At 34.2% G+C, this 27,459-nt stretch overlaps 1 protein-coding gene and 1 pseudogene across 4 annotated transcripts in view; both read left to right on the top strand.

The window, feature by feature from the left end:
- Positions 1-27,459, top strand: part of LRRC40 (leucine rich repeat containing 40) — a 60,775-nt gene that overhangs the window by 6,142 nt on the left and 27,174 nt on the right. For 2 of the 4 annotated variants that reach the window (NM_017768.5, XM_047424519.1), the window contains exons 2-9: positions 10,165-10,346; positions 12,100-12,173; positions 14,524-14,653; positions 18,229-18,352; positions 20,445-20,587; positions 23,456-23,628; positions 25,729-25,816; positions 25,928-25,973. In NM_017768.5, the coding sequence (NP_060238.3) occupies positions 10,165-10,346; positions 12,100-12,173; positions 14,524-14,653; positions 18,229-18,352; positions 20,445-20,587; positions 23,456-23,628; positions 25,729-25,816; positions 25,928-25,973 (960 nt within the window). Of the gene's footprint in view, positions 1-10,164; positions 10,347-12,099; positions 12,174-14,523; positions 14,654-18,228; positions 18,353-20,444; positions 20,588-23,455; positions 23,629-25,728; positions 25,817-25,927; positions 25,974-27,459 lie in introns of those variants that run through there. The other 2 variants (XM_047424520.1, XM_011541763.2) reach the window with 2 other exon arrangements.
- On the top strand, positions 18,999-19,294 carry RN7SL242P (RNA, 7SL, cytoplasmic 242, pseudogene; annotated as a pseudogene).

The following is a 27,459-nucleotide window of genomic DNA, read 5'->3' as shown; positions in this document are numbered from 1 at the left end:
GGATAAACTGTACTTTGTTTTTGTAGGCTCTAGTTCTTTTTTGAAAAATACCATTTATTATTTTCGTATTCATAAAAGCAGGTCTGCTGTAGAAAGATTAGAATCTATAGAGAAAAGCATAAAAAGTGAAGAAGCCAACCAGAGTTAGTCACTGTTAATGTTGTGGAGGTTTTTCTTCTAATACTGTGTGTGTGTGTGTGTGTGTGTGTGTGTGTGTGTGTGAGACTATGTATAATTTGACTGCTATTTTTTATTTTTTTATCTAATTTAGTTTATTTATTGATTGAGACAGGATCTCACTCTGTTGCCCAGGCTGGAATGCAGTGGTGAGATCACGGCTCACTGCAGCCTTGACTTCCTTATCTCAAAAGTGATTTTCCCACCTCAGCTCCCTGAGTGTCTGAGACTACAGGGATGTGCCACCATGCCTGGCCAATTTTTATATTTTTTGTAGAGATGAGGTCTTGCTATGTTACCCAGGCTGGTCTTGATCTCCTGAGCTCAAGCGACCTGTCCAACTCACCCTCCCAAAGTGCTGGGATTACAGGCATGAACTGTTGTGCCTGGCCCTATTTTTTATTTTTAACAAATTTAGAATTGTACTGACTCCTGTTTTTCTGGCTTCTATTTGTACATTTTCCTTGTCACTTGAAAAATCTTATTATTTTTAGTGGCTGTATAATAGTCCATCTTATGACTACTATTAATTAATATGTATTCATATTTAAACATTCAAATTTTGTTCGCAATTTTTAAGTAATCATTCTGAGTGTCAGTTCTATAACTTATTTAGAAAGATATTCTCAAATAGGAATAATTGTTAATAACCAACTTCAAAGAAAAATACTGTACATGTAAGTGACAGCTCTTTTTATGAGCAGCAACATGAGAATATGTTGTCAGTTTGGTTCAATATTGCAGCTCTTTTTCGTCGGACTAGATAAAATGAAGATGGAGTTGGAGGTGTTGATCGTTGCTTTCCAGTTGCATGACCATGGTAGAACAGTAGTGCAAGAATGTTATTGGATGATTATCTAAAACTGAGGAAAAATAAAAGGTGCCAGAGTTTGGAACAAAAGAATACTGTAAATTCTAATGGAAACTGCACTGTTGATCTGAAAGGCAAATTAAGAGGATAATTCATTAAATAAGCCAGTTAAATTAGCTTGGAAACCAATTATTTGAAAGGGAAATATGGGTGTAAGGCTATCCTGCCTTATCTTGAAGAGAGCAGTTTGGTTAGCTTTTATTTGTGTAGTTAAGTAATTTGGTCTAGGGCACCTAATCATGAAGAAAACCTACTATTTTAGGGTAATGAGAATTTGCCCTATTCAATATGTATAGTTTGTTGGGACAGAATAAAAAGTGTGACACGGGGTCAGGTGCTGTGGCTCACACCTTTAATACCAACACTTTGGGAGGTGGAAGCAGGCGGATCACTTGAGCCTGGGAGTTCAAGACCAGTCTGGGCAACAAGGCAAAACTTCGTCTCTACTAAAAATACAAAAATTTGTATTTTTAGTAGAGATGGGGTTTTACCATGTTGGTCAGGCTGGTCTCAAACTCCTGACCTCAGGTGATCCACCTGCCTTGACCTCTCAAAGTGCTGGGATTACAGGCATGAGCCACTGCACCCAGCCACATTCTTTTATCCTTCTGTGCAAACACCATTTTAAGCATGTTTTTTATTTCTTCTCTGTCTCTTTATCCACCCATATCATATAAATGTCCTCCCCAAACTAGATAGTTCTCTGTGATCAACCCATTTGTGAGTCCTCATTTCTATATTTAGCTGTTACCAGTGGAAAAAAGAGTAAGACAGTTTGCTTAAAAAAAAAAAAAAAGCCGGGGGTTGGGGGGGCCAGGTGTGATTGCCCATGATTATAATCCCAGCACTTTGGGAGGCCAAGGTGGGAGGATCACTTGAGACCAGGAGTTTGAGACCAATCTGGGCAACATAATGAGACCCTGTCTCTACAAAAAATAAGCTGGATGTGGTGGCACATGCCTGTAGTCCTCATAGTTCTAGCTACTTGGAAGACGGAGGCAGGAGGATCTCCTGAAGCCATGAGTTCGAGGCTGCAGTGAGTTATGATCACACCACTGTACTCCAGCCTGGGTGACAGGCTCTCAAAAAAAAATAAAATAAAATAAAAAAATACATCTATACATCTTCCTCCCCCCCGCCGCCCCCCAGTATCTATAAGGACCATGTTGTCCATTGTGGAAGCCTGTACTCATGTTGGCTTTTTAACTTTTAAATAATCAAAATTAAATAAAATTAAAAATCAAGTTCATCAGTTACTTTAACCACATTGCAAGTGCCCAGTAGCCATATGTGGCTAGTAGCTATCCTATTGAATAGTGCCAACGTAGGGCATTTACGTCATTGTAGAAAGTTCTGTTGAGCCATGCTGCTTAAGGATATTGTATCTACCCTGTGATATATGTTATATGTGTATATTTTTCCGATAGAATTGCCTTGATGTGTTACATCACCTATATTTTAAAATTATTCTTTTTTGGGGTTAACTTTATTGAAGTATCATTTACAAAGAGTATGTTGCATCCATTTTAAGTGTACAGTTTAATGACTTTTGACAAATATATACCATCATGTAACCAGTACTACAATCAAGATATAGAACATTTCCAACATCTTGAAAAGTTTACTTGTGCCCCTTTGCTGTCAATCCTGCTATTGGCTCCACATAACTACGGATCTGCTTTTTGTCAATGTAGATTAATTTTAGTTCTTTTAAAATTGCATGTAAATGAAATAATACATTTGCAATTTTTTTTTTCGCTTAGGGCTTCTTTTGTTTAGAATCATGTTTTTGAGGTTCATCCATGTTGTTTACATCAGTTGTTCTTTTTTTTTCTTTCTTGAGACAGTGTCTCCCTCTGTTGCCCAGGCTAGCATGCAGTGGCACAGTCATAGCTCACTGCAACTTCAAACTTCTGGTCTCAAGTGATCCTTCTGCTTCAGTTTCCCAAGTATCTGGGACTCATGGTGTATGCCACCATGCCTGGCTAATTTTTTTGTTTTTAATAGAGACGAAGTCTTGCTCTTTTTCCCAGGTTGGTCTCAAACTTCTGGGCTCAAATGATCCTCCTGCTATGGTCTCCCAAAGTGCTGCAATTATGGGCATGAGCCACCACGCCCAGCCAGCAGTTTTTTAAATTGCTGAATAATAGTCCATTTGTGTATACAATTCAATTTATTTATCCATTAGTCTGTTGATGGACATTTGAGTGGTTTCCAGTTTTTGGCTGTTATGAATAAAATTGCTATAAGCTTTCTTGTATAGTCTTTTTTTTTTTTCTTAGAAAGAAACATTTCGTAGGTCTTACAAATGGAAGGTGTGTCTGTGTCTTGGACAGTGGTGAGATAAGATGATGGATCTCTGTGCCTCATGTACAAGTCTTTGTGTAGACATACCATTTCTGTTGAATCCATACCTGACAATGGAATTGCTGTATTGTATAGTAGTAAGTATAGGTCCTGGCGTGGTGGCTCACGCCTGTACTCCCAGCACTTTGGGAGGCCGAGGCAGGTGGATCACTTGAGGCCAGGAGTTCGAGACCAGCCTGGCCAACATGGCGAAACCCCGCCTCTACTAAAAATACAAAAATTAGCCAGGCATGGTGGCACATGCCTGTAAGTCCAGCTGCTGCTCGGGAGGCTGAGGCAGAGAATCCCTTGAACCCGGGAGGCGGAGGTTGCAGTGAGCCAGGACTGCGCCACTGCTCTCCAGCTTGGGTGAGAAAGTGAGACCCTGTCTCAAAAAAACCCAAAAAGTATTTATTTAACATTATAAGAATTCACCAAACTGTTTCCCACTAGCAACATATGAGAGATTCAGTTCCTCCACCTCATTACCAGCACTTTGTATTCAGTCTTTTAAATATTAACTATTCTTGTGGCTGTGTTGGCATATTTTTTTGTGGTTTTAATTTGCATGTCCTTTAAAACTAATGATGTTTAGCATCTTTTCTACTGCCTTTTAGCCATTTATATATCTTCTGTTAAGTGTTTGTTCCAACTTTTGTCTTTTTTTTTTTTTAAATGGGTTTTTATTCTTGGGTAACGACTTTGTATATATTTGAGATACAATTCCGTCTCAGATATCTATATCAGTATCTGTCTAATATTTTCTCCCAGTTTAGCTTATTTTATTAATGGTAGCTTTAGAAACATGTAAGTTATAAATTTTTATGAAATCTAGTTTATCAATTGTTTTTCTTTTATGATGAACTTTTTCTGTCCCAAGACATTTTTTGCCCATCTGAAGGCTGTGAAAATTTTTTCCTCTGTTTCTTTTAGAATTTTTTAGTTTCATCATTTACATATAAGTCCGTGGTCCATTTGGAGTTAATTTTTGAGTGTGTCACAAGGTAAAGGTTGAGGTTCATTTTTATAGTTTATTTTATAGTTATTCCAGTACCATTTGTTGAAAACATGATTCCTTTTTTATTAAATTATATTGGCACCTTTGTTGAAAATCAATTTTCAATATTTTATTGTATGGAATTTTTTCTGAACTCTTTTTCCATTGACCTATGTGTTTATCCTTATGCTAATACTACACTATCTTGACAAATGTAGCTTCATGGTCAGACTTGGAATCAAATACTATAAAGCCTCCTGTTTTGTTCTTTTATTTCAAAATTGTTTGACCTAATTTAGTTCTTTTGCATTTCAATACACATTTTAGAATTGGCTTGTTAATTTCTACAGAAAAGCTTTCTGGGATTTTTATTAGGATTGTGCTGAATAAAGCCTCCTGTTTTGTTCTTTTATTTCAAAATTTTTTGACCTAATTTAGTTCTTTTGCATTTCAATACACATTTTAGAATTGGCTTGTTAATTTCTACAGAAAAGCTTTCTGGGATTTTTATTAGGATTGTGCTGAATCTATAAGTCACTTGGGGAGAAGCGACATCTTTGTAATATGGAGTCTTCCAAGCTGTCTTATGTTACATTTCTTTATTATCTAGACCTTCAAGTTTTCACAGCAATGTTTTGTATTTTCATATACAGATCTTGTACATATTTTGTACATTTAATACTATTTCATGGTTTCGGATGTCTTGTATTGTAAATCTTTTAACATTTAAACATTTTTTTATTTGATTGCTAATACATAGAAACATAGTTGATTTTTCTATATTGAGCTTGAATTTTGTGACTGTTCTAAACTCATTGATTGCATATAATTTTTTTGTAGATTCCTTAGCACTTTGTACATAGATGATCATAGTGTCTGTTAATTGGGACAGTTTTACTTCTTGTCCAATCTGAATGCCTTTTGTTTCTTTTATTTATTTCTTTTTCTTCTTTTTGTCTTACTGCATTGGTCAAGACCTCTATTAAAATATTAAAGTAGTGAGAATGGGCATCCTTGCCTTGTATACTCTTTTAAAGAGAAAGCACTGCGTCTTCCACCATTAAGTATGGTGTTAGTTTTAGGTTTTTCACAGATGCCCTTTGTAAGGTTGAAGGAGTTCCCTTTGATTCCTAGTTTTCTGAGTTTTTATTGTTGAATTTTGTCAGATGCTTTTTTTGTATCTCAACAATCACATAGTATTTCTCATTTTTCTGTTAATATGGTAGCTTTTATTGATTAATTTTCAAATGTTAAACCAGCCTTGCAGTCCTAAGATAACTCGCACTGGATCATGATATGTTATCCTTTTTATATAGAGTTGCAAAATTTGTTCAGGAATTTGGGTCTATAATCATTAGATACATTGGCCTGTAGTTTTTGTTTTATTTTCTCTTTTAATGTATTTATCTGCTTTTGGCATCAGAGTAAGACTGGCCTTATAAGATGAATTGGGAACTGTTCTTTTCTCTATGTTTTGAAAGAGTTTATGTAGAATTAGTATTATTTTTACTCTAAATGTCTGGTAGAATTCACCAGTGAAAATGTCTGCCTGGAATTTTCTTTGTGGGGACTTTTAAGTAGCTAATTCAATTTCTTTAATAGATGCAAGGCTACTTTCTATTGTGGTTGTACTTTTTTTTTTTCTATTCTAGGGATTTATCCATTTCATCCAAGTTGTTGGATTTGTTGGCATAAAGTTGTTCATAATATACCCTTATCCTTTTAACATCTGTGGGATCTATGACATTCTCACTTTGATTCCTGATTTTGATAATTTGTTTCTTTTTTTTCTTCATCTGTCTAGCTAAGGGTTTATCAATTTATTAGTCTTTTTAAATAAGTATTTTTTATTGCTTTTTCTCTGTTTGTTTCTCTCTCATTGATTTCCACCTTTTATTTCCTTGCTTCTGCTTTCTTTGGATTTAATTAATTCTTTTTTCTGGGTTCCTAAGATTGTAGCTTAGATCATTGTGGGATGGGGTTATAGATGAAGCAACACTAGACATGTGCTGATAATTATTAAAACTAGACAATGGATACATTGAGTTTTATTCCATTATACTGTTTTTTTTTAAACATTTATTTTAGGTTCAAGGGTACGTGTGTAGGTTTGTTATATAGATGAACTTGTGTCAGAGGGGTTCGTTATACAGATTACTTTGTCACCCAGGTACTAAGCCTCATACCCATTAGTTATTTTTTTCTGATCCTCTCCCTCCTCCCACCTTCCACCCTCAAGAGGACCCCAGTGTCTGTTGTTCCTTTCTTTGTGTTCATGAGTTCTCATCATTTAGCTCCCACTTATAAGTGAGAACATACAGTATTTTGTTTTCTTCTGTGTTAGTTTGCTAAGGATAATAGCCTCCAGCTCCATCCATGTTCCTGAAAAAGGCATGATCTTGTTCTTTTTCATGGCTGCATAGTATTCCATGATGTATATGTACCACATTTTCTTTAACCAGTCTGTCAGTGATGGGCATTTATGTTGATTCCATGTTTTTGCAATTGTGAATAGTGCTACAATGAATATTTGCATGCATGTGTCCTTATGGTAGAATGACTTATATTCTTTTGGGTATGTACCCAATGATAAGATTGCTGGGTCAAATGGTAGTTCTGTTTTTACCTCTTTGAGGAATCGCCATCCTGCTGTCTAAACTGGTTGAACTGATTTACACTCCTACCAACAGTGTTTAAGGGTTCCCTTTTCAGCAAAGTTTCAGGATACAAAATCAATGTACAAAAATCACTAGCATTCCTATAAACCAACAACAGCCAAGCAGAGGGCCAAATCAGGAAGACAATCTCATTCACAGATGCTGCAAAAAGAATAAAATACCTAGAATACAGCTAACCAGGGAGGTGAAAGATCTCTACAATGAGAATTACAAAACACTGCTCAAAGAAATCAGAGATGACACAAACAAATGGAAAAACAGCCTATGCTCATGGATAGGAATAATCAATATCATTAAAATGGTCATACTCCCCAAAGCAACTTACAGATTCAGTGCTATTCCTACCAAACTACCAATGACATTCTTCACAGGACTAGAAAAAAACTATTTTAAAATTCATGTGGAACCAAAAAAGAGTCCAAAGAGCCAAGGCAATTCTAAGCAAAAAGAACAAAGCTGGAGGCATCACACCACCTGATTTCATTATGCTACTCTTTAAATTTATGTATATGTTTGAAATTTTTTATAATATCCAACTCCATAGTAATTTTTTTGATATTTATATGCTATTGACATTCATTTTTATGTGGGTAGTTTCTATTTTGGATATTGATAAACTACTTGTAGGATAGCTCCACAGAATTTCTTAATAATTAAGACTATATATGCTTTTTAGTGGTTCTTATGGGACAGTTGCAACAGTGACATGAATCTTGATGCTGTAAGCTCTGGAAGAAATTGGGATACCTCAAAAATGATTAGTGGGGAAAAGAATGAGTAGTAAGTAATTGTTTATGGAAAAGCAAATTGATACATGTTCAATAATAGTACAGTATCAACATGTATCTGCCCCTTGATGGTTCCCATAAAGACAAGTTTGTTAATAAAAATATCTGAGTAATAATAATAAAACATTAATACTCAGTATAGTTGATGGGTAACAGGTATTTTTATTATGTTGTGTATAAATTTCTTGTTATCCCCACCTTTCTCCATCCAAAAAAAGACATTTGTTATTACACTGCTTTTTAGGTATAATGGCCTTAATATACCTATGTATAGATGTTAGAAAAAAATGCATGCACAAATGTTCTATGTCTCATCTTTAGGAGTAGAATGGTGCATCTCACATAGCTTTTTCTACATACTTTCTTAGTGTTTTGTATTGTTTTATCTTGCCTTTTTAAATCTGGAGCTTTTTGTTTGTGACTCATACTATATGGCACATTGTAGTTTTTTTTTTTCAAGAGTCACATTTATTTTTAGTAAAATATATATGTGACCACATTTCTGTTGGCTGCTTTTTTGTCAGTAAATTCACATGCCAGTTGCTTGGCTGATCTCCTTTTCTCTTTCCTACTTAACTAATTATCCATACCTACATACCAAAATAACAATGATGATGATAAATTGTATGGTGCTTTGGCTCTCAAATCAGTCAAGAATGGTAAAATTATTTTATTTTGCTTCACTTTAAAAGTAAACCTCCATCCACCAACAGAAACACAGGTGGATTGATATTCTGTGTTGTTAATACCTAATGGAGAATCAGTGGTAGAAGAGTAGAGAAGCAGAGAATACATAATCAGACATAAGGAGTAAGAGAGGGACCTTATAATTTATTTTAGTATGAATGTAGATAGCTCAGTTTTTTTCTTTTTCTTTTTTTAAGTTTTTTTTTTTTTTTTTTTAGAGACAGGGTCTCACTCTGTTTCCCAGGCTGGAGTTCTATGACGTGATCACAGTTACTTACTGAACTTCAAAGTTCTGTGCTCCGGCAATCCTCCTGCCTCAGGCTCCCAAGTAGTAGGACTACAGGTGTGTGCCATCACACCAGCTGATTTTTTTTTTTAAGAGATATGGTTTTTCTTTGATGCCTAGGCTGGTCTCAAACTCATGGCCTCAAGTGATCCTCCCACCTTAGCCTCCCAAAGTGCAGGGATTATAGCCCTGAGGCACTACAACTGGCTAGCTCATTTTTTCAGTGAGTATAAGTCTCATGCCTTTCAGGGGCTTGGCTTTGCTTCTGTAACCCCATTTTATCTGATTAATCATCCAAAACTGCACTTAAGTGTCCTGAATCTGAAACTTTGACTATACCTTTTCATTTAGTCTCTGATGGTTTTGAAATGATAATCTGTGGCAGCAAGGTATAACCAATTTTTGCCTTGATTAATACCAGCTTGAAGTTCTACATCATCCCTAAATGTAGTTCTACTTTTACCGAGCAGTGAAGGACTCTATTGAAAATAGTTTTGCTACAACACTACAGCATTCTACCTTCTGGAGCTTCAAGTTATCCCTGCTCAATTTGTACAGTCTTATTTTCTATACAGGTGTCATCACTTGCTGCAATAGCATAACACAGTGTTGTATGGTGCCATAAGAAATAAAATTGTATGTCAGATAAAATAAAGAGTAGCTACCAAAGTCAGATATTTCTCCCAAATGTTAATAGAAAGCAAGACAGTATAGCACTGCCAGGCATTGAATCACATCTGTGGTACTTGTCTAGCTTTGTAACCCTGGCCAAATTATACATTTTCTTTGTGCTCTATTTTTCTCATCCATCCAATGGGAATAATAACACCTACTTTGCAGAATTGTTCCAAGGTTTAAGTGAATTAGTATGTTAGAAGTATTTATAAGTGTTAGCCATTATTACTAGTTCTTTCTGAGCCTTAGTATATACTTCTGTTATAAAAGTTATTACATATACATGTTGATTTCCATGCCTTCTCTATTAATCTGTTAGCCTGATGGTAGAATGCATTCTTTGTTGTACATATTTACCACAATGTGCTGTGCAGTGTATGTGCTAATCAGTGTATGTAAACCTAGTAAATATAGTTGAATGAAGGTTAAAGTGAGAGCTAATGTGTAGAGGACATATTATTGATATATAGCCTTTTTAAATAAAATCAACTTTCACTCTAGTTATATTTATTGCTATTTAACTTATTTTTTGTTTTAGAAAATGTTTTTCAATAGATAAATGGAATGGCTATTATAAAAGCATGTCACTTAGTATCTAGTTCTGGTTTTCATCTTTTTTTTTTTTTTTTTTTTTCCTGGTGTGGTGCTGATGGAACTAGTGCCGCAGTGTGTCTGGAGAATAAATGTGGATATCCCTGAGGAAGCTAATCAGAATCTTTCGTTTGGTGCTACTGAAAGATGGTGGGAGCAGACAGATTTGACCAAACTAATAATATCAAACAATAAACTTCAGTCACTTACAGATGACCTGCGACTCTTGCCTGCACTGACTGTTCTTGATGTAAGTTGACTGACTATAAATATGGATTATTAATTGAAGAGACTCTAAAGCTAAATTTAGGCTTTGGTAGCAGAAAACCTTTCATGTTGAGTTGGTAATGCAAGGACAGATAGTAAATTATCATTCTAGGCATAGCATAATGGTTAAAAGTGCAGGATCAGAACACCAAGTTTCTAATTCTGACTTCTGCTATTAATGGCTGTGTGACCTGGGGAGAGTTACCTCTCTGTGCCTTAGTCTCCACATCTGTAAACCAAGACTGATACTACTACCTATTTAAAAATTTTGTTTGTAGAATTAAATAAGTTAATGAATACAGACAGAATCAATATTCAACAAGTGGTTATTTCTGCTCATCTTTTTTTTCTTATTACTATTTTGCACAGGCAAAATAGTGGCGTGATCATGGCTCACTGCAGCCTTGAACTTATGGACTCCAGCAATTCTCCTGCCTCAGTCTCCCAAGTAGCTGGGACTATAGGTGCATGCCACCACACCCGGCTATTTTTTTTTGTGTGTGTAGAGATGAGGGTCTCACTATGTTTCCCAGACTGGTCTTGAACTCCTGTCCTCAAACTCTCCTCCTGCCTCAGCCTCCCAAGTGCTGGGATTACAGGCGTGAGCTACTGCACCTGGCCTATTGTTACAATTTTTATCATTATTATTCTAGATATTAAAGCAAGTCTATATGTATATGTATTACTTGCCTTCAACCTCATTGAGTTAAATTATTGAACTTAATTTTTTTGTGTTTTTATTCAGGGATTCTTTTTAGTCCTTTGTTGCCATGTCCTGTGGTAAAGTGAAGCACAAGGAGTATATTTCATAATCTGCGGGCTTCACAATCTGGTATACTTTACTTATCAACATAAAAAGTCCTCCAATTCATGTGTTGAAAAGTAGAATCTAAATAGATCAATTTTTAGGGAACTTTTTATTTTCTTCATTTGTAAAATGAATGGATTGGCTTACTCTAAGGTTCTTTCTACCTTAAAAACTGATTCTGTGAGAACATGAGAAAAGTCCCTTTCTCTTTTCTCATATAATTTTTGTATATATTGACATAAATCATATCATCAGAGAGCTGTTTTTAGTTTCTAACCCCCTCATCTCTTCTTTGAAATTGAAACTCTACTAATGAGTTGAAATTTTTCTTAGTATAATATTTAAAGTGGTTGACTTAACACTTCATGACTTCTCTTCTCTTCTCTTCTCTTCTCTTCTCTTCTCTTCTCTTCTCTTCTCTTCTCTTCCATTTTTTGAGACAGGGTCTCACTCTGTAGCCCAGGCTGGAGTGCAGTGGCACAATGTGGGCTCACTGCAGCCTTGACCTCCTAGGCTCAAGCAATCTTCCCACCTCAGCCTTCTGAGTAGATGGGGCTACAGGTGTGCGCCACTACGCCTGACTAATAAGAATTTTTTTTTTTTTTGTAGAGACAAGGTCTCACTAATTTGCCTAGGCTAGTCTCAAACTCCTGGGTACAAGCGATTTGCCTTCTTCGGCCTCCCAAAGTGCTGGGATTACAGGTGTGAGCCACTGCACCTGGCCTTACTTCATGATTTCTGAACAGCCGTTTGGTCATCTTCAAACTGTTCTACATACAGAACAAGTATGTTGAACAGTAGTTCAACTTGTTGCCATTGAATTTGAGGAACAGGAGATTACTGACTAATAGTTTTGTACACTGGCAAAGCTTATATATTGTTAATGATAAGACTAAGAATATTGACTTTGTCTTTTAAAAACTTTTAGATACATGATAATCAGTTGACATCCCTTCCTTCTGCTATAAGAGAGCTAGAAAATCTTCAGAAACTTAATGTCAGGTAAAAATTAAGCTTATTTACTTATATTATTGCCCTTATAATGGTTTAAATCTAATATTCTTTAAATTTTCTCAACATTAAAAATATCTTTGAATTATCTCAGAAAGTAGTTAAAGCAGAATAAGAATTTTAAGTTTTTTAAAGCTTTAATTCTTAGTTTGTATGTTTTTTTCTTTGTTTTAGCATTACCCCCATCATTTCTGATTTTATAAATGCAAGGCTAGTTGATTTTTTTTAAATGCTTAAATTTTTTTTTTTTTATAAAACAATTCTTAGTGGTTTGTTATTGTAGTAAACCTCTTTGTTGATGTCTCAACTTTTAAGTTACCTTGATATTCTAAAAATATCTAAACAATAAGGAAGAAATGTAAAACAATTCTTTCATAAATGAAATACTTCATAGTTTTTATTAGTAGTCGTTTTTAAACTTCTCCAAGGACTCCTGGGATTCTACGGATATATTTTTGTAACTGTCATGGACATACTGGTACATGGGATGTTCAGTGGCAAAGATTGTAGCTAACTCTGTTTGCTCTCTGATACATACCCAGACTTTTAAGAAAGAATAACTTTGCCTTTGTTTGTTATATAGACATAGGCTATGGGAAAGGAGATTTAAAGAGGTCTTATTTTGGAGTAGAAAAAAATGGTTCAGGAACTTAAAGCATAGTTTGAAAAACTGTGGCTTATAAAATAGATACGGTTACAGATCTATGTAATGTAATATAGTCAAGTTTGTTTTCTGGAGATAAGCTAACTGGTTTGAGGGAAAATAGTCCCTCCCAGTAACACTCCTTATTTGGTGGAAAACATAAAATTACCATTGGCCAATGAAAATATATATACATAAAAAGGTGCTAATTATTTAGAACTCCATCACAGTATCTTCCCCTTACAAGTCAAAGGCATAGACGTGGCCTGTAAAGACAAGAGTGGGGATTGTTGAGAGGAAGAGAGGAAGCAGTAAGTGTTGAGTGACATGGCTTAAGCTTTAGATTCTATACTTAAGAGTATGTAGGTGTGTTCTCAGTGAAGAAGTTTAAAAAAAGTATGAATCTTAGGATGGAGTAATTAGCTAAGAAAAGGAGATGGAGGAAATCTATAGCTAAAATTATCTCTCTCCCCAGTTAGATCCCTATCAAGTGTGCAAAGATTTCAGCTAGGTAACCAATAACAGTAACCGACTTAACAATATTATTGGTTCTTGTTTTAGAAGACATCATTTGACTTTTTTTGTCCCAACTAGTTTTATTTTACTGTAATTTAGGGTTATTGTAAGCACCTTGTATTTCCCATTTTCCCCCTGTTATTTGTAAAGTAACTGTATATGGCATGAAAATAGCATGGAATTCGTAAGTGAGTATTTAAGTTGTGATAAACCTGGGAACTAGTTCAGTCATCTCTTAATTATCATGAAGTCTATCATCCTCCATGATTTGGGACTTCTAAACCATTACACTGAATATCTCTACAGAAGGGCTTAACTGAAAAGACCAAGTATGAAGAAGAGTGGAATTCCATATTACATTCAACTTGACATCCTAGGTCCTCAAACAGAAATAGCTATTTTTGCCTTAAAACCGAACATATAAGATGTAACTCCATTGTGGTATATGTGTGCATATAGTTTTGTCAAAATTCTGAAAGTCAGTTATAGTATGTATTAGTCCGTTTTCATGCTGCTGATAAAGACATACCCGAGACTGGGAAGAAAAAGAGGTTTAATTGGACTTACAGTTCCACATGGCTGGGGATGCCTCAGAATCATGGTGGGAGGCAAAAGGCACTTCTTACATGGCAGCAGCAGGAGAAAAATGAGGAAGATGCAAAATTGGAAACCCCTGATAAAACCATCAGGACTCATGAGACTTATTCACTACCACGAGAACAGTATGGGGGAAACCGCTCCCATGATTCATACTATCTCCCACCAGGTTCCTCACACAACATGTGGGAATTATGGGAGTACAATTCAAGATGAAATTTGTGTGGGGACACAACCAAAGCATATCACAGTATAACAAATTAAGTGTCTAGTATGTCCTATCACATTGCATGTCAAATCAAGAGTTGATTATAAGCATGCAATCAAAACATCACAAATTATTTATGTTTGGCTAAAAGCCTTTATTTCTTTGTTATTTTTCTTTGAAACCCCAATGTGGTTACTTTAGATTACTATTATTTTAATGAGTACATATTTTTGGATATGAATTTTGATAAGTACTTAAAGTTAGTAACTATATTTGATTTTTATGAGTCCAGTGTCATTGGTTAGCAAGAAATGTCTTTGATAAATATTTATTGTATTGCCACTAAATTATTCATCATTTATTTTATCAACCAATAGCCATAATAAACTGAAAATACTCCCTGAAGAAATTACAAACCTAAGAAACCTGAAGTGCCTGTATCTCCAGCATAATGAATTAACCTGCATATCAGAGGGATTTGAACAACTTTCCAATTTAGAAGATTTAGTAAGTTCTGATTTTCCAATTTTTGTACAATTTGGGGCTGGTGGGATTTTTCATCAGGCTGAGAAATTAAGATAGATGATTGAAACTGTGGGAACATGGACAGCTGATTTTGTGATTAGATTATCAGAAATGTGCATTTCAATAAGATAGCTAAATTTGTCACTGTAAATTTGGTTTTCCTGTATTATGAAATCAACTTTAAGTTTTAATTTAGGAAGAGTTTGGGAAAGGTGCAATGAAGATTACTTTGTTATTCAGAGGCTTTACAGCATAGCAGAATAGAGGAAAGTTGTCTTTAGCATATACCAATTCTCTTTTCTATACCCATTTCCATTTCCTTCCTTATATTACCTGCGGCCCTTCTGCCTTCCAAATGTCCAGGTAATTCACTGAAGGTCTGTCTTCTCTACTTTTCAGAATGGCCACACTTCCTGGCAAAATTTTAATTCCATTGTTTCACTTACCTTAAATAGAGATAACTGTAAAGCAATACAAATATTATTTTAGTCATATTTTTATTATTATTTTATTTTTGGGGGGACATGGTCTTACCCTGTCACCCAGACTGGAGTGCAGTGGCGCAATCTCGCTCACTGCAACCTCCACCTCCCAGGTTCAAGCGATTCTCCTGCCTCAGCCTCCCAAGTAGCTGGGATTACAGGCATGCACCTCTACTGCCCGGCTAATTTTTGTATTTTTAGTAGAGACGGGGTTTCACCATTTGGCCAGACTGATCTTGAACTCCTGACCTCAAATGATCCACCCTCCTCAGCCTCCCAAAGTTCTGGCATTACGGGCATGAGCCACTGCTAGTCTAGTCGTATTATTAAGAATAATAAAAACAATAGACATTTATCTTTGAGCATTACATATGGCAATGTAATATCCCCTAATACAATAAGAAAGTAAAGCTGATAAAAAGGAAATTTGGAGCTAGGTGTGGTAGTTCGTGCCTGTAATTCTGTCACTTTGGGAAGCCAAGGTGGGTGGATTTTTTGAGCCCAGGAGTTCGAGACCAGCCTGGAAAACATGGCAAAAAACCTGTCTCTACAAAGAATACAAAAATTATCCAGGTGTGGTGGCACGTGCCTGTAAGTCTCAGCTACTCAGAAGGCTGAGGCAGGGAAGTTGCCTGAGTCAGGGAGGCTGAGGCTTTAGTGAGCCATGATTGAGCCACTGCACTCCAGCGTGGATGACAGGAGACCCTGTCTCAAAAAAAGAGAGAGAGAGGAAAGAAAAAGAAAGAGAGAGAAAGGAAGAAAGAAAGAGACAGAGAAAAGAAAATTTGTCAAAAGTAACACAACTAACAAGTAACAAAATTAGAATTTGAGTGTAAGTCAATTTAACTCCAAAGTGTATCCATCTCTTTTTTTTTTTCCATTTTACCACCAAAGGAATAAGATTCCACTGCAGGCTATACCATCTGAAAGACTTTAGCTGTATTAAATCGAAGGTACTAATATATAATATCTACTCCACATAGTTAATTCATATTGCATTGTTATTCTTTTCCCTCTTACATGTTTTGGAAAACTCCTGTCATTTTAGCTTGCTTTTCATTAAAGGAAGAAATTACTCCTTTTCTATTTTTGCTGTGTGTACATCCTCCTTGATACTTCCCTCATTTGTTCTAGAGTTTAAAAGTCAAAATATATACTCTTCTCAACCATTCCTTCAGTGTCTTCTTGTCTTTCCAAATGATCAGATGGGAAATAAGTAAAAGGCATAGGTAGATAAAATGAATGGCAAAGGAGGAAGCCATCAGATTTTCTTATAAAAATTGGTGGTAAAAGGTAGCAGTTGATTTAAAAGAGTCCATTTGGAGTTGAGAGCTGAAAGGAAAATTTAAAATAAATAAAATTTCTACTATCCACCCACATGTTCCCAGAGACTCGTTTACATAATGAAAGAATGTTTCATTTCAGAATTGTGTTCTACAGACTCAGTATCAAATCATAAATGTGAGCAACAATATATTAAAACAGATTAAACACCTATAATTTAAACTAGTAATATTTCTTAAACTTGTATAAAAACTGCTTAGCACAATGCAACTAATTATTTGTTAAAGGAATGACTTGGCATAAATATGGATTAATTTATATAGTGTATTTATGTTTTATATCTAACAATTACTAACTGCAGTAATTATTTAACTTTATTAGTAATTTTATGTAGAATTTACAAGGGGGTTTATTAGAATTATTTGGGTTTTTAAAAATGCTTTGACAATTTCTGAATTAAGTTTTTTGTTAGTAACTTTTTATTTTAGGCTTTTTATTTTAGAATAATTTTAGGTTTATAGAAAAGCAAATATAGTAAAAGAGTTCTCATATACCCTACATCCAACTTTCTTTAATGTTAATATTGATATAACCACAGGAACACTCAGATGTTCACATTGGTACAATACTAATTAAACTGCAGACGTTATTTAGATTTTCCCAGTTTTTCCACTAATGTCCTTGTTTTTGTTTCAGAGTCCAATGCAGGATACCACATTGCATTTAGTGTTAGTAACTTTTGATACTACAAAATATTTATTAGCAATCTTTTGATTCTTAGAGTTTTTAGTATTAGAGTTGTAGAATATGTTATGTTGTATGTTGTAGATTATGATAATATATTGTTATAAAATAATTATAACAGTATGTTTTTAAAAAAAGATTTGATCCAGTATTTTTACCTTTTTCTATCTTCTTGGTTTCTTCAGAGTTACAAAATGTTACTGTTAGATTAAATGAATTGTTTAGTGTTAGGTTGTTTAATGTTATATTAAATGAAAATCTTATTCATTGTTGCCATTGACACTGCTTAACACTTTGCTGTTATGTAGTGGAGCAATTTACACCTAATTTGAGTGTTATAAAAATTACCTGATTCATAACAACGTCTTTTAAAGGGAGTTTCAAAAAAAAGTTCTCTTAAAACTATTTAAAGAAAAAGCAAACATAATCATTTAAAGAAACAGGAGGTATAGCGATTAATTAAGCAATCTTGAGTGAATGAAGAGTAGAGGGTAGACTTCTGGTACCAATCAGATCTGACTTTCTGAGGTCAGCAGAAGAACCAATAGAAAATATTTTTTTTTCCTCAAAAATTTGAATGGCCGTTTTTTTCAGCTTCATTTTTCCTTTTCTCAGGAATTTTTCTTTCTTGCAAAGATGTTTTTCATTTCACATGACAGTTTATTAATAATATGCCTAATTCTTCTTAGGCACTTCATAAATATTGGATGAATACATGAATTTTTGCATTGAAAATATGATGCATAATATGGCATGACTTTGTTTTAACAGAATCCGTTATGTAAAATATTTTTGAAGTTAGAATTCATTTATATCCTGTCTACTACCATTGATGAACATATAGTGGGCCTGCAGATATTGAAAATCAATCTTGAAATGAATGATGATCTGTGAAATTTTCAGTGAATGAGAGTTACACAACTTATCACATCTTAAGTAGTCTCTTTTATGTTGTAATTCCTTCAAAAATTTGAAATCCTTTTTAGGGCATTATTTATTTATTTTTTTACTTGTTTATTCATTTATTTTGTCTTTCTCTTTTTAAAGGATCTTTCAAACAATCATCTTACAACTGTTCCTGCTAGTTTTTCTTCTCTGTCCAGTCTGGTGCGACTCAATCTTTCTAGTAATGAACTGAAGAGTTTGCCAGCAGAAATAAATAGAATGAAAAGTAAATATTTTCTGTTTTACATAATACATAAATTTGAAGTTGGTGCAACTTACATTTAGAAAGTAATTTTTAATATAGTTACAGAGAACTAAAGTAGTAGATTTTTATAGTGGTAAATGCAAACAATAGCAACTAGTCAGATTTTCTCCAGACCATTATTATGTATCAACTGTCTAAAGAAATACCATCATAAAGATACTTAGGCATATGAAAAAGAAGAAAATATGATTATTCGTTGTAGTAGGATTATATACCTAAGCTATACTGTCTTTCATTCATTCATTCAACATTCATAAAGAGGTTAGTCCCCTCTTACTGGTGAATCTACCTATGATATTTAGTTGTATTATAGCTGTAGCCTCCTCATGGTCCATAAGTAATAATGTCGAGAAATAAGTCTTGTTTTGTCTGAGGTCCCAGGTTGTCAATCTTTTTTAAAAGAACCAAAATGTCAAAATTTATTGGTTCTGTTAAAATTTGCCATCAAACCATAATATCTGAAGTATTGTAGAACTAACATTAAGGGATTAAAAAAGTCAAGGTACATTTTAGTACCTTTTAAATTAGTATACTTCAATATAAAATTCTTAAGAGTCTAAAATCATTAGTGATTTTTTTGTTTGTTTGTTTAAAGAAACTGTTATTACCAGGCACTGTGGCTTGTGTCTGTAGTCCCAGTTACCCAGGTGGCTGAGGCAGGAGGATCGCTTGAGCCTAGGGAGTTCTGGGCTGTAGTGCGCTATGCCAATCGGGTATCCACATAAGTTCAGCAGCATCATGGTGACCTCCCATAGTGGGGGACCACCAGGTTGCCTAAGGAGGGGTGAACCAACCCAGGTCAGAAACAGAGCAGGTCAAAACTCCCATCTGATCAATAGTGGGATTGCCCCTTTGAATATCCACTACACTGAAGCCTGGGCAACATAGTGAGACCTCTTCTCTCTCTCTCAAAAAATAAAATAAAATAAATTAATAAAAAAACTGTTATTTTGTAACTATTTCTTGGTTGATGGTTAGCCTTTTTTTTTTCTGATCATTTGTAAGCCTTCTTCAATTTTAAAACCTCCCTTTTGTTTGGCAAGTCATAGAAATGATTGCCTGCATTCAATTGCAGATAGTTTTGAGGTAAATTTCTAAAATTGTGTTGTTTTGCTTTAGATTAATAGTTATTTGTTGTTTAAAATTGGAGTTTTAAAATAAGTTAAATCTGCCCTAAATCAAATTGACATTTTAGGGGAGTCTTTACCTGGGATACCAATAGTTAAGATTTTGCTGTATTTGTCATTTTTTTCAATAAGGATATTATAAAGAGCAGCTAAATGTAAAATATATCTAGAACGAAGACATAAGCAGCATGGACTTTTTTCATAAATTGAGTGGAAATATCTTGAGAGATAGGAACATCTCAACTTAAGTTGATAAATCAACTTAAAAATACATTTGAGTTTATAGTAATTTTTCTAATATCCAGTGTTATTAATGACCAGATGCTTTTGTTTCTCAGCCATGACAATGATACTTTTAAGCTGTTACACAGAGTACATTTAGTTGTACTTTAACAGAGTACCAGAACTTTATTTTTAAATGTATTACAAAAATGACCGGGACTGTTGTTAAATTGCCCAGGCTGGGGTGCAATGACATGATCATAGCTCAGTGCAGCCTCGATCTCCCAGACTCAAGCATTCTTCCTGCCTCAACCTCCCAAGTAGCTGGGACTACAGGCATGCACCACCATGCCCAGCTAATTTTTTTTTAATTTTTAGTAGAGACGATGTTTCACTATATGTTGCCCAGGCTGGTCTTGAACTCCAGAACTCAAGTGATCCGCCCACCTCGGGCCTCCCAAAGTGCTGGCATTACAGCACAACTGGCCTAAGTAATAATTTTTATGTTACTATTTCTCTTTAATTATAATTAAATGTAGAAAAATTTACATTTATTTAATTCAGTGGTGTTTGAATATTCTTGATTATATGGCACAGGTTCATAAGTCCTCATAGCGATTTCTTACACATTCTTTAAAGTTGTATACGATCAGAAACTAATTTTTTTTTCTCTATTTTTGTTTTTTACTGAATATATATTACAGGGTTGAAGCATTTGGATTGTAATTCAAATCTCTTGGAAACTATACCTCCTGAATTGGCTGGCATGGAATCACTAGAATTGCTTTATTTGCGGAGGAATAAATTACGTTTTCTACCAGAATTTCCTTCTTGTAGTCTATTGAAGGTACTATTTAGTTGATTATTAAATAACTATATTTTCCAAAAGTTAATTATTAAAATGCATTTTTAAAGGAGCTAATCTTGTTTTACATTGGGAGTGTGTATTAGTTATAAGTACTGTGTTTTTCCTATGTTAATACTTTTCAGAATTTTAATATGATTACTTACATTAATGGTATTTTTAGTAATACATTTTTTAAAAGAAATAATTTAAAAAATAGAGATTTGTCCATTTCATCTGACAAGTAGTTCATAACTGGAGAAGTAGTAGATAAAGAGGCTAAAATTGTAAGTAGGAGACCTGGAATACCAACCAGGATTATGTACCTAATTCTATAAAGTGTCACCTCTCACCTTTACCTAATCATAATCAAGTATGTTTGAAATGAATTACATTCTTTTGGCTTTAAGTGTGTAGAATTAATGGTGTCTTGTAAATTTGCCATGATTTGCCTTTTTTATATATACCTTTAAGCTCTAGTGTTAAAAGAGTTTATTTTAAACAGAGTGATGATATATAAAATGAACTGAAAAAGTTTTCCTTTAATAAGAATAATTTTCCATCTGATAATTATAGTTTCTATTAATGGCAAATCAGTATATAAAATAATCACTAATGAAAATGTTAGGTAACAAACTGATTACAGTTGATCCTTGAACAATGCAAAGGTTATAGGCATTGACCCCCATGGAGTTGAAAATCTGTGTGTAGCTTTTGACTCCCCAAAAACTTAACTAGTAGTAGTCTCCTGTTGACCAGAAGCCTTACCAATAACATGAACAAATGGTTAACACATAATTTGTATGCCATATGTATTATGTACTATGTTCTTACAATAAAGTAAGCTAGAGAAAAGAATCTTATTAAGAAAATCATAAGGAAGAGAAAATGTGTTTACTATTAATTAAATGGAAGTCAGTCATCATAAAGGTCTTCATCTTCATTGTCCTCGTGTTGAGTAGGCTGAGGAGGAGGAAGAGAAGGGGTTGGTCTTGCTGTCTCAGAGATGGCAGAGGTGGAAGGAAATCCACATATAAGTGGACCTGTGCAGTTCAAACCTAAAACCCATTGTCATTCAAGGATCAACTGTGTTTATAGTACCATGCTGTATTGATACCATAAGTTTATATCATCTGCTTACAGGATGAATCATCTGTCTGAAATGGTGAGCAACTTAAATCTATGGTATATGTCAGGCAATTCAACTTTTCTTGTAATGTCATGACTTTTCTCTGCTTCTTGGGAGAACTTTCAGCATCACTAGTGGCACTTCATATTAGTCCCATGATGTTATTTGAAATTTATGGTTTTGCACTAAACAGTATGAGAAACACATGAGAACTGCAAGAGATCATTTTTTACTGTGACATGCAATTTACTGGAGAGCTGAACTGCTCACCTGGAAATGATTAGCTTCATACAGGTTTTAAGTGGATACTCACAACATAGGCTCACCACAGTACCAACAAGAAGTGGCAACAAAATTATTATAGTAGTACAGTGTGTACTACAGTTAATTTTATGTAGTTATGATTTTTCTTTTTTTGAGGCAGAATCTTTGATTTATTTATTTTTTTTGAGGCAGAGTCTCGCTCTGTCATCCAGGCTGGAGTGCAGTGGTGCAATCTCAGCTCACTGCAACCTCCGCCTCACGAGTTCAAGTGATTCTCCTGCCTCAGCCTCCCGAGTAGCTGGGATTACAGGTGCCCACCACCACGCCAAGCTAATTTCTGTATATTTAATAGAGATGGGGTTTCGCCATGTTGGCCAGGCTGGTCTCGAACTCCTGACCTCAGGTGATCCGCCTGTCTCCACCTCCCAGAGTGCTGGGATTACAGGCGTGAGCCACCGTGCCTGGCCTAGTTTTATGTAGTTATGACTGCATCTTCACATTTGTTTACATTTCTCTGTAAGTTGTATGTAAGTTTTGATACATTTTAACTTTTTATAATAGATTTGTATATATTTTGTGGTAGTCAGTGATAAACTAGTATCTACATATATTAAATGCATTCATGACATATGTAACTTTTTTTTATTTTTTAAATGTTTTTAGGCTACACAGTTGGTTTGCAAGTGTTTTCAAATTGTCACAAATCTCCAAATAAAATTTCAATATATTTTCTGAAAAAAATTTATATAAAAGTGGACCCTCACAGTTTAAACACTTGTTGTTCAAGGACCAACTGCATAATATCAATAACTTTTTAAAAAACTGATATTACTTTGTTTTGCAAGTAGTTTTTGGATTTATATTTTTATTATTTAAATGTAACTACTAAATTATTTCTCTACTTTGGTTTTTTTTTTTTTTTTTTTTTTGAGATGGATTCTTGGTCTGTCATCCAGGCTAGAGTGCAATGGTGTGATCTCTGCTCACTGCAACCTCCGCCTCCTGGGTTCAAGCGATTCTCCTGCCGCAGCCTCCTGAGTAGCTGGGACTACAGGCACGCTCCACCACGCCTGGCTAATTTTTTGTATTTTTAGTAGAGACGGGGTTTCACCATGTTGGCCAGGCTGGTCTCAAACTCCTGAACTTGTGATCTGCCTGCCTCAGCCTCCCAAAGAGCTGGGATTACAGGCGTGAGCCACTGCACCCAGCCTACTTTGGTTTTATAAACTTGATGTTTCTGCCAGATTCAAAGTTTAATTATTTTTAAATTGCCAAAAAATTTTCTCATTTGCCATTCTTCTTTAGCTGAAAGATAGCCTAAATATAATTGAAAATTTAAACATCTTGATATTTATAAAGTTGCATTTTTTCTATGTGTTTTTCAATCACTTGAAATTAAGAGTACCTACAATTTTATTTTCATTATCTACTATAAAATTGAATACAGAGATACACATAACTCATCTTTGATTTTGTAGGAATTGCACGTAGGTGAAAACCAGATTGAAATGTTAGAGGCAGAACATCTTAAACATCTGAATTCAATTCTTGTGCTAGACCTGAGGGATAACAAGTTAAAATCTGTTCCAGATGAAATTATACTACTACGGTCCTTGGAAAGGCTTGACCTAAGCAACAATGATATTAGTAGGTAAGTTTAAATATCAAATGAATAGAAATTGTGTTTGTATTTGGTTATAATTCATAATTTGAAATATTTGTTAAAAAACCAAGAGGTTCCTTTTTTCTAAATTGAATTCACTAAATATTGATTGAGCAGTAGTTATGTACAGATAAAGATTAATTAGGTTTTGTCTTTAACAGCAAGCTTGATATGATAATAGAAGCAGACATATTTATGACTTACTCTAACTAGATTATCATTAGTATTAGTATTATTACTCTTACTAGAGTAAAATTTAGTTCTAGTTACCCCCTAGAACTAAATTCTAAGAACGCTGGAATGAATTTACTTTAAAAGCCTTGCCATAGCACTGTTTCCCAAATATGGGTACGTTTTAGAATCATTTGAGAAACATTAAGAAAAAATACTGATTCTGGGACGCTAATGAATCAGAATCTCTGATGACGGGACCCTAGAATTTTTGTTCTTTGTTTTCTTTAAAACAGTTCCTAGAATTTGATGCTTCTGGTCTTCCAACCAGCAATTAATTGGGAACCACCATATTGTAAGATAAACTCTAGACTTTTTAGCCTGACATTCAAGGGTGCCTTACAATCAGACTTAATTTATCATTTGTCATCTTTCGCTCATGCAGGTGTCTTGCTCTCTGACTACATTGAGCTATAAATATACCAACCCTTTCTTTGTTTTATTCCTTTACCCTAGAATGCTTTTTTTTTGCCTAATAGTATTTGATTTTTCACTTTAAGCCCAAATCCGGTTTTTGCTACTCCCTTCTCCCCTGTAAAGCCCCACCAGTGTCTATATTTCTACTCTCATAGCAACATGACTTGTTTAGCATTTGTCTTATTATATATGCTTTTTATATCATATTCATTTGTTAATATGTAACTTATATACAATAAAATTTACCAATCAAGCATACAACTTGATGATTTTTGGCAAAGGTATATATTTGTGTAACCGTAATCACAGCCATGTAGAACATTTCTATCTCCCTAAAAAGTTTCCTCATACCTTTTGCAGTCAATTCCCTTTCCATACCCCAACCCCTGGCAACCACTAATGTGCTATGTTACTATAGTTTTGTCCTTTTTAGAATGTCACATAAATGGAATTACATAGAATGTAGTTTTTGTGTCTGGCTTCTTTCATGTAACATAAAGTTTTTGTGATTCATGTGGTTGTATGTATCAGTAGTTTTATTTTTATTGCTGAGTGTTATTCTGTTGTACAGAGATAGATATACCGCAGTTCATGTGTCTTTTCAGTAGTTAGTTGATGGACATTTGAGTTGTTTTTGATTTTTTGCTATTGTAAACATCTGTGTGCAAGTTTCTGTGTGGACATTATTTTCATTTCTCCTGAGTAAACGTGTAGCAGTGTGTTTGCTTAGTTGTATAGTGACCATATGTTTAAAAGACTCCACTTTCGAAAGTGACTGTACTATTTTATATTCCCACCAGCATTGTAAGATAATACTTATTATATTTTAGTTAGCTGTATGTGTTTTTTTCCTTTGTTTAACTGAGGACTTGAGAACAAGAATCTTGATATCGCTATACCAGTGCCCTATATTTTGTAGATGCTTAATAGATTTTATTGATATTGAATTTTTATGTATGAATGGTTTTTAAAATGTGCCAGAGATGAAGATGACTTTCTTTATTGAATGGAAACATGAATTGGACATTCAAAAATTATCTTTTTCTATTTGTCATCTTTTTTCAATTAGAATTTTGTTTCCTTGCTCTAAGTGCAAAATCAAAACATTTGGTATCAGTGAGGATGTCTATCTTGAATCACTGATTCATTCAAATTTATGTTTAACATTTACTTTTTTAGCAAATGTTATAATTTAACAAATGTTTTATAGCTCACTTTTTTAAAATTAATCTCAGCATGACAATTTTGAAAACAAATCTGATTTTTCCTTTATATGTTTAGCATTTATCTTGAAAGGAAATGTTTTAGGTCTGCATTACTTGGCCTTTCTTTGAGACTATTCTGTGATATGTTGTTTGCCATATGATGTTTTATAGTTAACTATGGTTGGAGTATACTTATATTTGATGCTTTCCCTGAAATCAATTTAATCTTTTATAGTCTTCCCTATTCATTGGGGAACCTTCATTTGAAATTTTTGGCATTAGAAGGAAATCCTTTGAGAACAATTCGAAGAGAAATTATAAGTGTAAGTATATTTGGAATTCAGCTCTTTGTTAAATTGAAATTCAGACATATATGTTGATCTGTAAAACTGCAAAGCATGTCTTGGTGAATGTCTTTGTCTCCACCCTTCTAGAAAGGAACACAAGAAGTCCTAAAATATCTACGAAGCAAGATCAAAGGTACTTTAAAATGTTCTCTTATATTTTGAAGGATTCATAAAAAGTGGTGAAGAATTAATAGTACATAAATTTAAATGTCTTTTGGGTATACATATTTGGAAGTAATAGATCCTGGCATGTGTGGCTCTAATTCTAAATCCATATAGTCTGTAAGTATGCTGAGGTTATAAAAATATCTTTAAACTCACAATAATAATGTACTATCTGTAATCCCTTTGAATTGTGTTAAGTCTGCCAATTAGGAAATTTAACAAAAAAGATTCAGTAAGCACTTAGTACTTCAACTTTGAAAAAGGAGTAAAACTTGACTTTCAGGATATATGGGTTCTATTGACTAGAAAGTATATTGACAAGTATTTCATTATCTATTTTTCGTGCACAGCTTTGCTAAACTCTGACAAAATTTAAGACAAAACATACTTTTCAGGGTATGTTAATTTAGCAAGAACATGTACCAAAAGTGAAAATAATACAATAAACTTAATTTTTAATAATTCACTAAACATGTCATATACCCAATTTTTGTTTCATGTCTATCATTATAGAATAAACTAAAACATTTTGAAAAAAAAAAGTAGTTGTACGAGTGCTATGCTAAGAAACAAACCACTCCAAAACATAATGGCTAAATGCAGTAGCTGTTAATTTACCTCACAACTCTGTTGGTTATGCATAGCTTAGCTTAGCACTATGTTGCCAGTCAACATATATTAAATGAGTAAGATAATTGTGTAGTTTAGCTATTTTTTCTACTTTATCCTTCAAGTGAATTATTAAAATAATTTTCTAAGACTCTTATTTTCTACCAAGGAAAGTGTTTCCTTCTCCAAATATGCTTTCTCTTCCAGAACAAATTGATTATTCTGTCATGAATCAGTTAGAGGTCATGTCAGACTGATCAAAATTTTATGAACAGAAAGCCAAGATGAACTTAGTGGAAGTTACAGTTATATGCAAACATTTCTGCTAGACAGCTTCTATCCAAAGATGGGAGAGTGAATCCATGCATATAATTTTATTCTTTCCAGAAACCCCACAAAAAGAAAATTGGTAATGGAAATGTTTTAAAGGTGTACTTCCATAAAGATAGGGAGAATGGGGGAAAAATAAAATAATAAACATGTGGACATTGGAAAGTGAGTTGTTTAGTCAGTTTGGGCTACTATAATAAAATATCTTAGACTGTAATTTATAAATAACAGAAATTTATTGCTCATGGTTCTAGAGAACTGTGATCAAAGCACCAGCAGATTTGGTGTCTGGTAAGGACCTGTTTCTCATAGATGGCACCTTCTCCATGCTTTCAGATGGCAAGAGGAGGTTAATGAGCCCCCAAGACTTCTTTTATAAGGGCACTATTCCCGTTCATGAGGGTTCTGCCCTCAATATCTAGTTACTTTACAAAGGCCCTACCTCTTAATACTGTTACCTTGGTGGTTAGATTTCAACATAGGAAATTTGGGGTAACACATACATTTAGGCCATA

Source organism: Homo sapiens, chromosome 1 (assembly GCF_000001405.40).
Source record: "Homo sapiens chromosome 1, GRCh38.p14 Primary Assembly".
Classification (NCBI taxonomy): domain Eukaryota; kingdom Metazoa; phylum Chordata; class Mammalia; order Primates; family Hominidae; genus Homo; species Homo sapiens.
The sequence above is the reverse complement of the archived record's forward strand: the minus strand, read 5'-3'. Positions and strand labels throughout refer to the sequence as shown.